Consider the following 15,617-nt stretch of genomic DNA (forward strand, 5'->3'; position numbering starts at 1 on the left):
CTGAGATATTTAAGGGTAAAGCATCAAATGGCTTAAAAAGATGGTGTGTGTGTGTGTGTGTGTGTGTGTGTGTATGAGAGAGAAAAAAAGAGAGAAAAAGCAGATGGCAAAGCACATGGATAAAGCACATTTACTAAAATAAAATTTTAAAAAAATGATCTTTTACCCTTTTACGCTTCCTATACAAACATCTCCTTTTCTCCTTAGCAGTATTATAATGAATGATAGCAACAATTATTTGTTAATTACAAAACTTATTCTGTTTCCACAGTCCTCTTTTCTTACCTGAAAATAGCAGGCCACATTTCCATGTGTCTGAGCAAATGTTATTGTTCAACACATATGCCAGCTTTACAGTGGGGATCAGGTAGGGTGTATACTTCAAATCAGTTACAGGAAAAAAATCATTAATTTTGAGAATTGGGTAAAAATAGAAATCTCTTTATCTGGAAATAAATAAGATCAGAAGTACTGAAAAAAACATCGTTTTTCTTTCAAAATTTTGATCAAGTCATAAATGATTTGAGGCTAAAGAGGGAGGAAGAGGGTAAAAAAAGGGGGAGAAAGAGTTTCAATTAAAATGTATTTTTTCAAGGAAATTATCAATAATCTCTCTATAATGACTAGTATACAGTTCTTTTCAGTAGCATACACAAATGAAGAGCATATTCATAATGAGCCAGAAGATTATTCATAATGTCTGAAGAGATTGATTAATGTCTTGACATTTAAGAAAAACTGAGGCTTGCAGGTGAAAGTATACATGAAGGTCTTCAATGCAGTTCTTACGAGCAGAAGATGCTCAACAAATGTGTGTTGCAACCGTATCTGAAATGTTCACTGTCTTTGCTCTTTCTCTCCTTTCAGCTAGAAAATCTGGAAGCAGAAACTGCTCCGTTGCCCTAACAGGGTCTCATGCCATTCCGACCTTCACCAAGCTTAGAAGCCACCATGTATGTGGAAGCAGGTTGCTTCAAGAATGTGTAGGAGGCTCTAATTCTCTAGGAAAGTGCCTGCTTTTAGGTCATCCAACCTCTTTCCTCTCTGGCCACTCTGCTCTGCACATTAGAGGGACAGCCAAAAGTAAGTGGAGCATTTGGAAGGAAAGGAATATACCACACCGAGGAGTCCAGTTTGTGCAAGACACCCAGTGGAACCAAAACCCATCGTGGTATGTGAATTGAAGTCATCATAAAAGGTGACCCTTCTGTCTGTAAGATTTTATTTTCAAGCAAATATTTATGACCTCAACAAAGAAGAACCATCTTTTGTTAAGTTCACCGTAGTAACACATAAAGTAAATGCTACCTCTGATCAAAGCACCTTGAATGGAAGGTCCGAGTCTTTTTAGTGTTTTGCAAGGGAATGAATCCATTATTCTATTTTAGACTTTTAACTTCACCTTAAAATTAGCATCTGGCTAAGGCATCATTTTCACCTCCATTTCTTGGTTTTGTATTGTTTAAAAAAATAACATCTCTTTCATCTAGCTCCATAATTGCAAGGGAAGAGATTAGCATGAAAGGTAATCTGAAACACAGTCATGTGTCAGCTGTAGAAAGGTTGATTCTCATGCACTGCAAATACTTCCAAAGAGTCATCATGGGGGATTTTTCATTCTTAGGCTTTCAGTGGTTTGTTCCTCAGTTTTAAATGTGCAATTTTCTTGCTCCTATTTAAGTGTTCACAAAAGGTAATAGTCAATGAGCTCATCACTTCATCCATGCAGGAAGTCAAGCATTAAAATGTACTCTTTATTTCTCACTGGTTTCTCCATACTGCAGGCTCCCCACATATTATTTTCTTTTTTTAACTCAGCTCAGAATCCTTATGCCTTTTGAATCAGTGTGATAAAATGACAGATGTTTTTGTTGATTGCCAGAACAGTTTAAACTTTTTTTAAACAATAAATCCAATAAACATAATCTCAAGACAGACTCATATGACCATACAGAAAAGTGTGTCATCTATTTTTCAATCCTGTGTAGTTACTTGGATGTGAAATATTAACAATGGCCCAAAAATATTTTCCTGAAGATTGTGTTTATATAATGTCATCACCAATATTTTGGTCTTTTTGATCTCTGCTAAATGTCAAGATTTCCTTTGTAAAGTGTCGATCTTCTAAGTAGTTTCTTTAAGACAATTCTCCGCTTTAACTGATTTTCTTTGTTGTGAAACACAGTAGAGATTTGGCAATCAACCATTTTACTTGATCTAGGTAGACAGCCAAGTCAGATGGCCCATGCCTAGAAGCTCTCCATTTTGAACTTTTGTCAGCATTGATTAAAAGAATCAAATACCTTGTAGTTATCTATGATGATACAAGTAAAAAACTAGGCTGCTGACTTCTGAGTATTCCTGAGCCTACAATTGTAAAATTGTAGACTCCATTGTAAAATTTGTATTTTTTCATCAATCTGACAAGGCACAAATATGTGCCAGATATACAAAAGCAATGTTTCTAGAAAACAGCTATCATGGATCAGAATAACTGAATTTACTCTCAGATCTATTGGCTATAGTTATGTGGACTCAACCCACGTATCCAGTAGATGGGAAAAAACAAAAGCCAAAATAAGTTTTTTAGTGTTTCCTTCTGATGAAGTTTCATGTTTGCTTGTAATAATCTCCATTTCTCAAATATTATGTTCCATAATAGACATACATTATGTTTAATTTTTTATATTTTCTGACAAAAGTAACTAAAACTAGGACCTTAAAAAGATTTAGAATGTTAAATAAGTGTACTAGGGTGTATATATTTACATATATACACTACTAGAGCTTCCAAAAGTAAAATGGATAATTCAAACAGAACACAATGTAATATTTGTATGTAAATAACTGAGGAGGAAAATCCATGCTTTTCATGGGCTAGGATGGTTTCTCCCAAGAGATGACATAGTATTGCTTTTGCTCATCAGGCTGTTTCTCAGCAATCATTGTTTCTGCTTAATACCAGCTCCTAGTACGAATTATCTGGCATGTTGAGAGCAACTTTGTCTTCAAGTAGGACCTGATCTATCTTTTTCCACAAATGTCATGTGTGTGAACAAGTTTCTTCCATGTCATCTTTGAGACTCTACACAGAATACACAATAAAGGGAGTTATTTTTAAAATAAGACATTCTAAAGTAAATAATAAATAAGGTCATTGTCAACGTTTTTCATTCAAAACCATTTTTTAACGTAAATTTGCTAGAACCACCTTCCAATTCCAAGGCAAGGAGAGACATTACAACCCTGACTCAACTGGATGGGCTAAGGTTTCTGATAAAATCTGAAGATAAAGAAAATGGAATATTCTGCTTTTTTCTTCCTTCTAATTTCACCCTTGCCTAAGGATGAGATTTCTTCCCAGGTTGGTATCCCAGAAATGCAGACTGTAGCTATGGGGCGGAAGCTTTGTTTCTTTACCTGATCACTTGCTGTGGAAATTCTAGCTTATTGTGTTCCAAGTAGTTAGTGGTTTTTCTCCTTCAGTCTCCACTGTTATTTTGCTCCTTCATCCCTCTTTCCTTGCCAATCATTAGAAAGGAAAGAAGAGGAAAGAGACTCGCTGGAGCACTGGTGAGTCTCTAGGACCCTGCTATCCTATCCCAACAGGGCTGTCAGACGGAGAACTCCTAATGTGGCCATTTGAAACACTTCTCAACATTGAAATAGACAGTTGAAGTTTTAAAATAACCTCTTCTAAGACACGGCTATGAGTAGGTAAGAGAGCATTCATTCCCTTCAATAATATGACTGTGTTGATAAAACTGATAACCATTCACTTGCAAATGTTATTATTGAATAAGTCTCACTTAGCTCATTTAATATTACCCAAAAGATGCTAACAAATTCTGTTTCCCACATTGTCACAGCATGCCCTTTACATCTCAGGATCCAGGCAAAAGTTGAAATTCAGAAACATAGATATGAAATGTAAGATACAAAGAAAACACCTCTGCAAAGATTCCGACCACATTTATCAAAAAGTCCCCAAAGCATTCAAAATCTTTACTTAAGTCAAGTCTATTTATACGTTTAAAAGCTAAAAACAAGATCTTTTTGGTAATGCTTCAATTAAATGTTTTATCTAAATATGTGGAAATGATAAGATGCGTACTGCATCTCTCATATAATAAAGATAATCAGTTTTATACAGACATATTCTCCATCTACTGGCAATTACCAAGATAAGATGGCACTAGAAATTTCTCCAGCTTACGCCATGAATACTGCAGAAGCTGATACTATCCGTTGTGGTTTTACAAATTCTAGAGGGTTCTAGCCAAAGCAACCTAAGAATAGGACATGGTAGCTTAAGTTTTTCAGCTTCTTAACTGGCCACACACACACAAGTTGTGTTTGTACAATTCTTGAGGTCAATCAGAACCAAAAAATCTGTTGCTGGAAGAAATATTATCCTCTTCATAGAAATATCCACCAGCAGAAAATTGGTTTCTCAAGGAATCCCTACTGCCCTTGTAGAAACATCAAGATTCTTGCCTGGATTCTCAACATAAGTCTTTACTCACAGGCCTATTGCTTGGTTTCAGAAGAGTGAGAACATGAAAGTTCATAAATGCCTGGGCCACTGCAACTCTAACCACTGTGTTTCCCCCAGTTTGATATGGTTCAGGATACATAGTCATAGAACAGGGCATGCAGATTGTATTTAAGACCACTGCAAGTAAGGTCTAAGGCAAAAGTAAATTAATGAGTCCAACTCTGGGGCATCCATTTAAGAGCCATTTAATCCATTTAATTACAAATAATTTCAACCCATAGTCAGTGTTCTTCACTGTCTTCAAAAATATAAAAAGTACAAGGAATTGTGTACATTACAAACTGCTCCAGAAACAAAACCAAATGTGGATAGCTTTGTGAGCTGCAGTGTGTGGCAAATGTTCAACCTTTTGTTATGCAATATCACCCATATCAAATACCATTCTTAAAGCAGTAGACAGATGAGTCAAGTTCAATTTAATGCAAACAATATTACTGTGTTCTAAGCGCTTCTGTTACTCGAAAGGGGTCTGATCCAGACCCCAAAAGAGGGTTCTTGGACCTCATGCAAGAAAGAATTCAGGAGTAAAGTGAAAGTGAAATGGGTCAGGATCAATGGTCTCATTGTCTAAGGTGTTATCCGAGCTCGTTGTCTCACAACCAAGAAAATTAAGGAGCATGGACACAAAGGGTGAGGTTGGAGCAAAAGTTTAATAAGCAAAAGAGGAAAGCTCTCTGCAGCAGAGACGGGAGCCCAAGTGGGTTGCTGTTTTTACAGCTGAATCCAAAAGCTTTTATAAGAAACTCCTCTCATCTCTGCAGCTATTTGAGTAACTTCTCTTATCTGAAAAGCTGTCTGTACAACTGCCTCTATCTATGCAGCTATGGGGTGTCTCTAGGCGAGCACAAAGCATAGCTTCTCTTGTTGTATAATTGTGGGTTTGTTTTAAGTAAGCCACTTTCCTCCCTGCAAGTTCCCACGGAGCAGAAAAAAGGAGGAAACTTTTTCCTGGGAGCCCACTAATCACACAGTGAACAAAAGGCTTCTATGCTGGGCCTTACTTTCTAACAGTGCAGCAGTTATAGTCTGAGTTTTCTCCAGGCTGCTCCATTTTTGCCTGTAGCTATGATTTTTCAGGCAGCCTGCTTCTCCGAGGACTAGTCTTAGCTGTTTACCTAACTGATTGGTCCTTTTCTTCTCCCTGAAAAGCAAGTTTATTAAGAAAGCAAAGGAATAAAGAATGGCTACTCCATAGGCAGCGTAGCCCCAAGGGCTGCTGGTTGGCTATTTTTGTGGTTATTTCTTGATTATATGCTAAACAAGGGGTGGATTATTCATGGGTTTTCTGGGAAAGGAGTGGGCAATTCCCAGAACTGAGGGTTCTTCCCCTTTTAAGACCGCATAGGGCAACTTCCTGACATTGCCATGGCATTTGTAAACTGTCGTGGTACTGGTGGGAATGTTTTTTAGCATGCTAATGCAATATAATTAGTGTATAATGAGTAGTGAGGACAACCAGAGGTAACTTTCATTGCCATCTTGGTTTTAGTGGGGTTTGGCCGGCTTCTTTACCACATCCTTTTATCAGTAAGATCTTCGTGACCTGTACCTTGTGCCAACCTCCTATCTCTTCCTGTGACTTGGAATGCCTAACCTCCTGGGAATGCAGCCCAGTAGGTCTCAGCCTTATTTTACCCAGCCTCTATTCAAGATGGAGTCGCTCTGGTTCAAACACCTCTGACACTTGAATTACAAATATAAGGACCATTGACACTGAGATTTTAAGGGAGGAAAAACAGATTGACAGTGGACTAAAGGTACTTTTGTAGCAAGGTACTTTCCACACAATATTGAATAAATGCAGTGTATACATTTTTAAAGGAATTTTAAGAGCTCGGAAATCATTAAAATTAAGTTTATCAATTTTTGAAAGCATCTTCTGACTCAAATATATGAAAAGATTATTCTAGACCTTAGGCAGATATTCAGAGAAAGATCAGTTTTCTATGGGTTTTTTCCATCATGCATTTTATACAAATTTAATATACTTTTTCAACTCACTTTGCATTTCCTGTTACCTTGTACTGAGAACTTCATTAAAACCTGCACTTGAAATTGCACTTAAACTTTACAAAATCACAGAAGAAGTTGTTTTCCATAGGTGTGGGGTGGGATGTTAGAGCTCTAGACATTAATTCCTAGGAATCGCATACCTACGGAAAACAGTCCTCTGACCTCCTGTGACACATGGGGTGAGCCCTTCCTTTTTGTCTCAATCTCAAAAAACAGTAAGTCTTTAATCCATTTGCATCAAAAAGTACTTCATATGCTCGAAACTAAAGTAAAACTTTATTGAAATACATTAATATGCTCCTGGAACATACTACTGGGTCTCAGACAGTGCAGAAGCTTTATTGTTTATTTGGGAAGAGCAAGGTAAGAATCAAGTAGAAATGATAAAGGGCAAGGAAAAAAGATGAAAGCTTACTCATATTAACCATTCTACCATTGGAATTATTTGCCAACACACCTTGCTGCTACTTAGAGAAAGTAGTTCACCTCACTACCTTTTATCCAAAGAAATTATCTCTAAAAGCACTCAGACATTTTGTAGAGCAAGTAGCAATCTATTCAAAGTTGTAAAGGTTCTGTAGAATCTCTCAGACCAGGTACAGGACCTACCAAAGGCCACAGCCAAGCACAAGCAGCTACATTAGACAGTTTTACAGCTCTGTATTTCAGGAAAACTTCTGTCCTGTGGGAGCAATACAAAACTATACCAGTTTTTTGTTAGTGTAAAAATTGCCCAATATTAACCAGAGCAGCCCAAAATATTTCAGGGTAAGAATAGATATATTTATATTTTTCAGATGATATATCTTCATTTTCGATTTTGAAAGAACAGTAATACTAATTATATCCCATGTAAGGGGCTACTGACAATTTTGATGGTACCTGAATTTGCCTCTATCATGCATCTCAATGATTTGTTGTCATCCAAAGCTATTTCATGAATCAAATATCGTTTTCTACCTGCCCCACAACTGTGTACATAAAACCTAAACCTCTGAAGCAATAAACCTCTTCCATTACACAGGTTTAGATTCAGAGTTTTCTTGCTTAAGTTCCAACTAAAAGTATTACATTCTTAGCATAAGTATACTCATAAAGAAAAATAAGTATTTGTTTTAGGTTTTAGAGAGAGAGCACAGAGTCCCTTTGAGACAGTGGGGAAAATTCATCTTCATATTGTCACATGCACTGTAATAGGAATGTTTAGCAAAAAAAACCTTCCAGAGAAAGGTGGTTTCCAATATTACCTACAACTTCCTTTGCAATTTGATTTTTGAAAGGACCTAAAAGTTGAAAACAGGCTATCACATCCCATTTGCTTTAAAGTCTCTTAAACTTACGCTCTTTCGCTTCAAATGCATAAATGTTTTATTTAAGTTTGCATTGCCCACTAAGGCTAGACATTTTTTTTTTTTTTTTTTTTTTTTTTTTTTTGAGACAGAGTCTCGCTCTGTCGCCCAGGCTGGAGTACAGTGGCGGGATCTCGGCTCACTGCAAGCTCCGCCTCCCGGGTTCACGCCATTCTCCTGCCTCAGCCTCCCAAGTAGCTGGGACTACAGGCGCCCGCCACTACGCCCGGCTAATTTTTTGTATTTTTAGTAGAGACGGGGTTTCACCGTTTTAGCCGGGATGATCTCGATCTCCTGACCTCGTGATCCGCCCGCCTCGGCCTCCCAAAGTGCTGGGATTACAGGCGTGAGCCACCGCGCCCGGCCCGGCTAGACATTTTTTGATAAATTCACAGGGTTACAAAATACCAAACGGAAATGAGATAAGTGGTATAAACCACAGAAGATATAGGAGAAGAGAAAAAAAAAAGAGGAAATAAAGAAGACAACTCTTTTCCTAAGAGTCTGGGTAAAATTGAACATAGCCATATTCACTGAACAACATGAGTGAGCTTCATTAATTTAAGCACAGCAAAACTGCTTTAATTAACAAGACCAGAGAGAAGGGAGAGGAGACTACATTTGTGTGACCTAATGGTTGTGATTTCACTGTCCAAGAGGACAAAGACAAAGAAATTCTGGGAAGGAGAACAACAATTATATTCCCCCATTTCAAGAAGGGCAGAAGTGTCCCAACACTACCCAATATTTGCAAAATTCAAATGTCTCATAGGCTCTTCTTCCCTGGTTCCCTCAGGAGCTGGGTTTCTGGGTTGCAGAAGTGCTTTTCATATTCTGTATCTGGTTGTGGTGGCAATGTCACCACCCTACACTGCTGTGACACCGAAACAACCAAGCCTAGAATCAGCTGGTGCCTCTTTTCATCTGCAGGGTAGATTTGGCTTCCATGGTTGTTCACTGCTCTGTGTTAGGAAGGCTCAGTGACAGGTGTACAGCCTTCAGTAATGCCTCAAAGGTTCTCCAAGCAGAGGTAAACATGTGGGTCCTGCTGGTGACATATTAGACTTCTTACTTTCCCCAAATAAAAAAGTGCCTGCTGGGCGCGGTGGCTCACGCCTGTAATTCCAGCACTTTGGGAGGCCGAGGCGGGCGGAACACAAGGTCAGGAGATCAAGACCATCCTGGCCAATATGGTAAAACCCCATCTCTACTAAAAATACAAAATTAGGAAGGCGTGGTGGTGCACGCCTGTAATCCCAGCTAGTCGGGAGGCTGAGGCAGGAGAATTGCTTGAACTGGGGAGGCGGAAGTTGCAGTGAGCCAAGATCGCAGCATTGCACTCCAGCCTGGGCAACAGAATGAGATTGTCTCAAAAAAAAAAAAAAGTGCCACATGCCATGCTATGTGCCCAAAGTTTCCTTCACACAACACAGCCTTGAGATGCAGTATTAAATTCTACACTTTTCCTACCATAGTGATACATGTGGCTTTTCTTTGCTGTGTTCTGAGATGTCATGCTTTGAAATCAGTGGCCATTATCATCTAAGGATTCCGCCAGAGACTTCCAAAAGAAGAGGTCTCATTTATAAAGTGAATTTGAATAAAATGACCAGTTAGGTGTTTTCAGAAACACCTATGCCCTACTTGCCTACTCTTCAAGGGTTTAGGGGCTTAGGGGGAGGTTTTGTTTGGGTTTTTTGTTGCTGTTGCTTGTTTATTTGTTTGTTGTGTTTAAGACGTTTTACTTGTCCCTGAAATGTTTGTCATCACACAGATACACGCTCAGGATAAGAACTACCAGACTAGATTAGGAGGTCCACACCACCAATTGAGATGTACCTGTGCTCATGACTTGACATTGTGGTGGGCCGGCTACAACCCTCCCCACCCCTCGCTTTCACTAAATAACAACTCTCTTCTCTCCATCATTTTGACTTAGAGCCAGTCAGAATTCAATCTCCAATATCCTGACTAGCACAAGAAATCCATAGGTTGATTCTTGTTCTCCTGCATCTCTGCAGGTGGCAAACCTGATTCCTAATGCCTGTTCCTGCCTCTGCAGGGGTTCATTCAGAAAACAGGAAAATAACAAAGGCTTCCTGTAATTCTCTTTGGCTGTAATACAATTTGTTCCCGTCTGCCCCCAGGCTCACCCAGTGCTCTGTCTCAGTGGTAAGCTGTAACTGATCACTGCTGTATTAACTCAAAACTCATTTGCTTTATGGAAATTCATGGCCCTTATTTCTCAAGGGACCAGAGAAAACCAATAGGCCTACTCCCCAGCTGAGTACTTTCCATGCAAGCTACCGCATCTGTATAAATTAGGTTCAAATAACAGAGTATTTCCAGGATTTATAAATTCAGTATTACAAATAGTAATCTGGCAAGTGTTCTCAGGATCCCCTTGCTACCTGTAATTCAATCATATAACTTCTGAATGGGCTGGGGGAAAATAACAATAAGAAAAACTGGTGTTTACCTGAAGATCTGCCCAGTGATTTGTGTGTTTTCTTAATAAACTTTACCCACTTATTAAAAGAATAAAATGAAGGTGGAGTTAATTCTGACTACGGGATTCCTTTTTCACTTTTATAATGAACTCCTTCCTTCTAACTAAATCTTATCATAAGCAAATCTATGCACCAAATTATTTAGTACAATTCCTAATAACAGCTGAAGGACCATTTATTTGAAGCAATGTTCACCATAGCAAAATTCCAGTGAAGTCTAAGAACTGGGACAGTCCGTTGAGGATCCTTGTGCCAGGATGTATGTTGCCCCATGAATGTGCACATGCATATTAAAATATGGGCACCTCTTTTAATTCTTTTTTTTCTCATAATAAGTTTGAAACTCACAGTAGGAAATTGAGAGATCAATTTGGTTACTGTTTTATCATTGATCCTGAAGACAGTTGAAGCAATCATACTGGTTGTTCTCGAACTAGCTGGTTTCCCAGAGACAGCTGGAGACTGAGCACATAAAGACATCATTGAGGAAAAAGGCTACCTTGTACCTCATGGAGAGCTGAAGGTCTGATAAATGGGAACTGCCAGGTAATAGCTATGCTATTTCTGACATAAATTTAAAAACTAGTATTGTTTCTTCTAGCTCTGTTTTTGCATAGTGCACAGAGATCTTTGTAAAAAACAGGAAATTAATGTTAAATTGGATCTATAAACATAAGTCAATTTGGCTCTATTATGTCAAAAGAGAATAGGAGTTTTAACTTATATCTGTGTTTTATTAATATTTTGAAGTATAGGAACCTCATGGTGTAGCAGGATGAGCCACAGACAAAACCTCTCAGACACCGAGTTGTAGAAGGAAGGGCTTTATTCAGCTGGGAGCATCGACCAGCTACTGTCTCAAAATCCAAGCTCCCTGAGTACACAATTTCTGTCCCTTTTAAGGGCTCACAACACTAGATTTCACATGAAAGGGTCGTGATTGATTTGAGCAAGCAAGGGGTATGTGACAGGGGCTGCATGCACCGGTGGTCTGGGAGGAACAGAACAGGACAGGGAGTTCTTCTATACAATAGAGAACAGAACAATGTTCTTCTATACAATGTAAGGAATCTATGAATAACATCGGCTTCTAAATCATAAGTTGATTTTTAACTACTGGGTTTAGGCCAGGCGGGCCCAGGCCTGGTTTCGGGCCTGGCGCTGAGCTGCCTGTATTTGGTTTTACTTCCTTGTTGTTTTTACTGAATATGAAACAATATAAAACAATGTGAGAGGGTCTTTCTCTCCTCTCAATGTCAACATCATATATGATTGGAGACTTCCACATAATTGAGTTTTAGTGCCCACTGTTACAGAAAATCATAATGGAAAAACTAAAATGTCAATAATAATTTCAGATGTGTATTTTAGTTCTCATAAGAACATCTACATTCATTTGAAAAATAGTTCTATATCTATTCTTGAAACATATTTCTTTAGTTCAAGGTCTGATGAGCTCCCAGACTGTTGGGGATTGCTCTACAGCTGCTCAAGCTTTTGAAGACTCCTGTGATTTTTTTAAATGGCTGGTTTGGTTGAAGTTTCTCTTATCAGTCAGGCACTTTGCATTTTAAGCGTACTTTACCACCGACACCCTCCCCCCCCAGCACACACACACACACACACACACACACACACACAACATAGTGAAATGGACCCGTGGGAATTATATGATAGTTGTAATCAAAATAAAATGCAATCAATACTAAAATACAATTTACCAAAGGCTTACCTCCTTATTTGAAACTCCAGCATCAATAATTTACTTGCACTCTTGTTATTTACATTTGTACTCTGGAAGTAAACTTAAAATGAAAATTAGAATTTGCTTTCAATTATACTATCTCTATCTAAATCTTAATTTGAAATTTAAATTATTTTGTCTCTACCCAAACCATCGATTTCATGGAAATGTTTAAATTTTCTTTTTTTTTTTTTTTTTTGATGGAGTCTCACTCTGTCGCCCAGGCTGGAGTGCAGTGGCTCAATCTTGGCTCACTGCAACCTCTGCCTCCCGGGTTCACACCATTCTCCTGCTTCAGCCTCCTGAGTAGCTGGGACTACAGGTGCCCGCCACAACACCTGGCTAATTTTTTGTATTTTTAGTAGAGATGGGGTTTCACCACGTTAGCCAGGATGGTTTCGATCTCCTGACCTCGTGATCTGCCTGCCTCGGCCTCCCAAAGTGTTGGGATTACAGGTGTGAGCCACTGCGCCTGGCCAGAAATGTTTAAAATTTCATAAATCTTGAATCCATAAAATTCAATGCTACCATTTATAATTTAATACTCCTACCATAAAAATTTCTGTGTTAGGCATAGCTATATGAATATTTGCCTATAAATCCCCATCAATTTAATAGGAATTAAGTTAGAAATACTAGTATATATATTCCCTTTATATACTAATTGTATATCCATATAAAAGCATTAGTACCATTATATGAAAGTATATATGCCATTCCATAAAAATATATCTACCAATATAAATAGAATATATAAAGGGAATATATATATACCAATATAAATGGGAATTTATATTGGCACATACATTTCCATTATTTTAATGGGAATTAAAGAAAAAATGCCTGTTTTCACTAAGTCATCCTTCCCCTGGCAATACATTTCCTGAACTTTTACATACTTAAATAGCCAGTTATGAAAATGTAAAACAATGAGTGATCTTGTTGTTTTCATTTTATTATGTTATATGAAAAAAAGAAACCTTGTAAGTGCAGATTTATTTTAAAAAATTGAAAAACTACTCTGTCAAACATAGCAAATAGGAAAGTTAAAAAAAAGTAAGTCTAAAGATTAGGTGCTCTGTCACTTGTCATTACATTTTTTTATAACATTAATGACACATTTTTTGCTATCCAAATATAATTTCCACTAGAAAAGAAAAGATGTCCTCCATGTTTTAAATTGCATTTGAAATTCAGGTAACTAATAACCCTTGGTTTTAAAAGATACATATAATGTTTCCGTAGGAAAAAAATCAAAATATTGTAAAGAATCTGAGTAAATGAGAGCCTCTCATGGTTGATTAAGTTCAGACATTTTAAACAGACTCCTGCCCACAAACTATTTTTCCTCTCCAGGAATAAGAATGGCAACTGAATTGTTCCTTCTTTATTCTATAGCTTTAAGTCAAACCTAACATAAGCAATCAACCCTTCCACCCATTGTCCTCTTTCTAGCTGCTTATATTCCTGAGTCTGAAAGAAGGGCAGAATTAATTCGTTTCCTTGACAGTGTTGGGGGTGAAATAAAAGATAGACCCCTGCTGCTCTGCACGTAGATTCAGTTTGTATGCCAGGGTGACATTTTAATTTACAGTAGTCCAGACACCTAAACAGGACATAGAAATGTCAACTGGTCATATTAAAATAAAAAAGTATAGAATAGTTTCTGTTTTACGGATTTTGTATCCAAGTAAATGAAAACACAATCACCTTTCAAAACATGGTATGAAATCCACAGTTGTAACAGTGAGCACAACATGCTTTCTGTGTGTGTTTTTAAGCTCTTTCCCCACATCTGCTTTTCAAAAATATTTGCCTGGAAACCTGTATTTCGCCTATAGAGACAAATACATATATTGTTTGTTGTGATAATGCACAAAAAGGAATGTTAAAAAAAAACACACAACATTGTTTTCCTTTTGATGGTCTGGGAGTTTTTCTATAAGTTTTTGGTTTTTTTTTTTTTTTCTCTTCATTAGTGTGTTAGTTCCATCATCATGTCTGTTTACTATTGAAAAATAAATATCTTCATTTAAAGTAGAGACAAAGCTACTATTTCACATTTCCAGGTAGGACAGGATGATCAGATGCAGCTTTCAAAAGAACTACCTGCTAAATCATAATGGTCTCATGTGCAGATCAAAATGTCAACTAGTATATCAAACAGTGAGCAATTCACTAAATTATTTTTACATTACTCCTATTTGACTGTTTCAGATAGTTGTATATAAAAAATATAAATTTTTGCATTGTATTGTTCTTGATGTACCAGCATACATAAACATATTAGGCTGTATTGTAAGTTTCCTGCATGTAATATGTAATGTGTAATTATATGTGATAAATAAAACCTAAAACTGATACAAATCTAGATTTTCCCTTGTCTTTCTCATTCTGACATTACTGACCTGTTTTAAAAGAATATTCCCCAAGTAAATGTTGCGACGTAGGTAAATAGCCTAAGAATTAGAGTAACAGACAACTTTGATACTAAATAAATACTTCAAAATAAAGAAGTGAACTTTCTCTCTTCATGAATTATTTCTATTTTTAGAACCAAAATGTCTCTAAACCTTGACAACCATAACTTCCTAAGCTAGAATTCTAACCAAACCATACAGAGAAGAAAAATATCCACTGTAAAGTCTATAGTTGAAAATATAGGCAGCTAAATCCACTGATAGTCTACTTTTTTTAAAAATGTGTTCTTGATGTTTTGAGCAGGAAAATTATTTGCAAGAAACAAAGAGTTTGATAAGGTGAAATTCAGAGCATGCTCTGGGTTGTTAGGTACAATTTTTTGAAGTGGAAACGTCTCAACATGAAAACACTTTATGGTAAGAAAAAAACGGCTGGGCGTGGTGGCTCACGCCTGTAATCCCAGCACTTTGGGAGCCTGAGGTGGGTGGATCACGAAGTCAGGAGATCGAGACCATCCTGGCTAACACGGTGAAACCCCATCTCTACTAAAAATTCAAAAAATTAGCCGGGCATGGTGGCAGGCACCTGTAGCCCCAGCTACTCGGGAGGCTGAGGCAGGAGAATGGTGTGAACCCGGGAGGCGGAGCTTGCAGTGAGCCGAAATTGTGCCACTGCACTCCAGCCTGGGCGACAGAGTGAGACTCCATCTCAAAAAAAAAAAAAAAGAAAGAAAAAAACTATCTCAAAATAACATTGCATAACTTTAGATTGCCTATTGAAAAGAGTTATTTACAAGGGCCTTTTGAAAAGAAAAAGCTATGTCCCTATATGTAAAAATTTCATCTCTACATGGTATTACCAGATGTAATTTCCTGACACACAGTTTTTATCTTGTCCTTCTTCTGCTCAAAAGCTTTGAATGGTGTCTTATTACCTAACGATTAAAGTCCGATCCCTTCCCATGGTATTCAAGGGCCTTCATATTTTGTGTGAACATGTCACAATTTATTCACCCATTCTGC

The 15,617-nt window shown here is 37.6% G+C and overlaps 1 protein-coding gene across 11 annotated transcripts in view; it reads left to right on the plus strand.

Annotated features, from left to right (window-relative positions):
• Positions 1-15,617, plus strand: part of OPRM1 (opioid receptor mu 1) — a 236,372-nt gene that overhangs the window by 107,320 nt on the left and 113,435 nt on the right. For 6 of the 11 annotated variants that reach the window (NM_001145279.4, NM_001145280.4, NM_001145281.3 and 3 more), the window contains one exon: positions 868-14,541. The exons of 1 other annotated variant lie outside the window; for it this stretch is intronic. In NM_001145279.4, the coding sequence (NP_001138751.1) occupies positions 868-906 (39 nt within the window). In that variant the 3' untranslated portion in view covers positions 907-14,541. Of the gene's footprint in view, positions 1-867; positions 14,542-15,617 lie in introns of those variants that run through there. 4 more of the 11 variants (NR_104348.1, NR_104350.1, NM_001285522.1 and 1 more) reach the window with 1 other exon arrangement.

The sequence above is a fragment of the Homo sapiens genome, chromosome 6 (genome assembly GCF_000001405.40).
Source record: "Homo sapiens chromosome 6, GRCh38.p14 Primary Assembly".
NCBI lineage: Eukaryota > Metazoa > Chordata > Mammalia > Primates > Hominidae > Homo > Homo sapiens.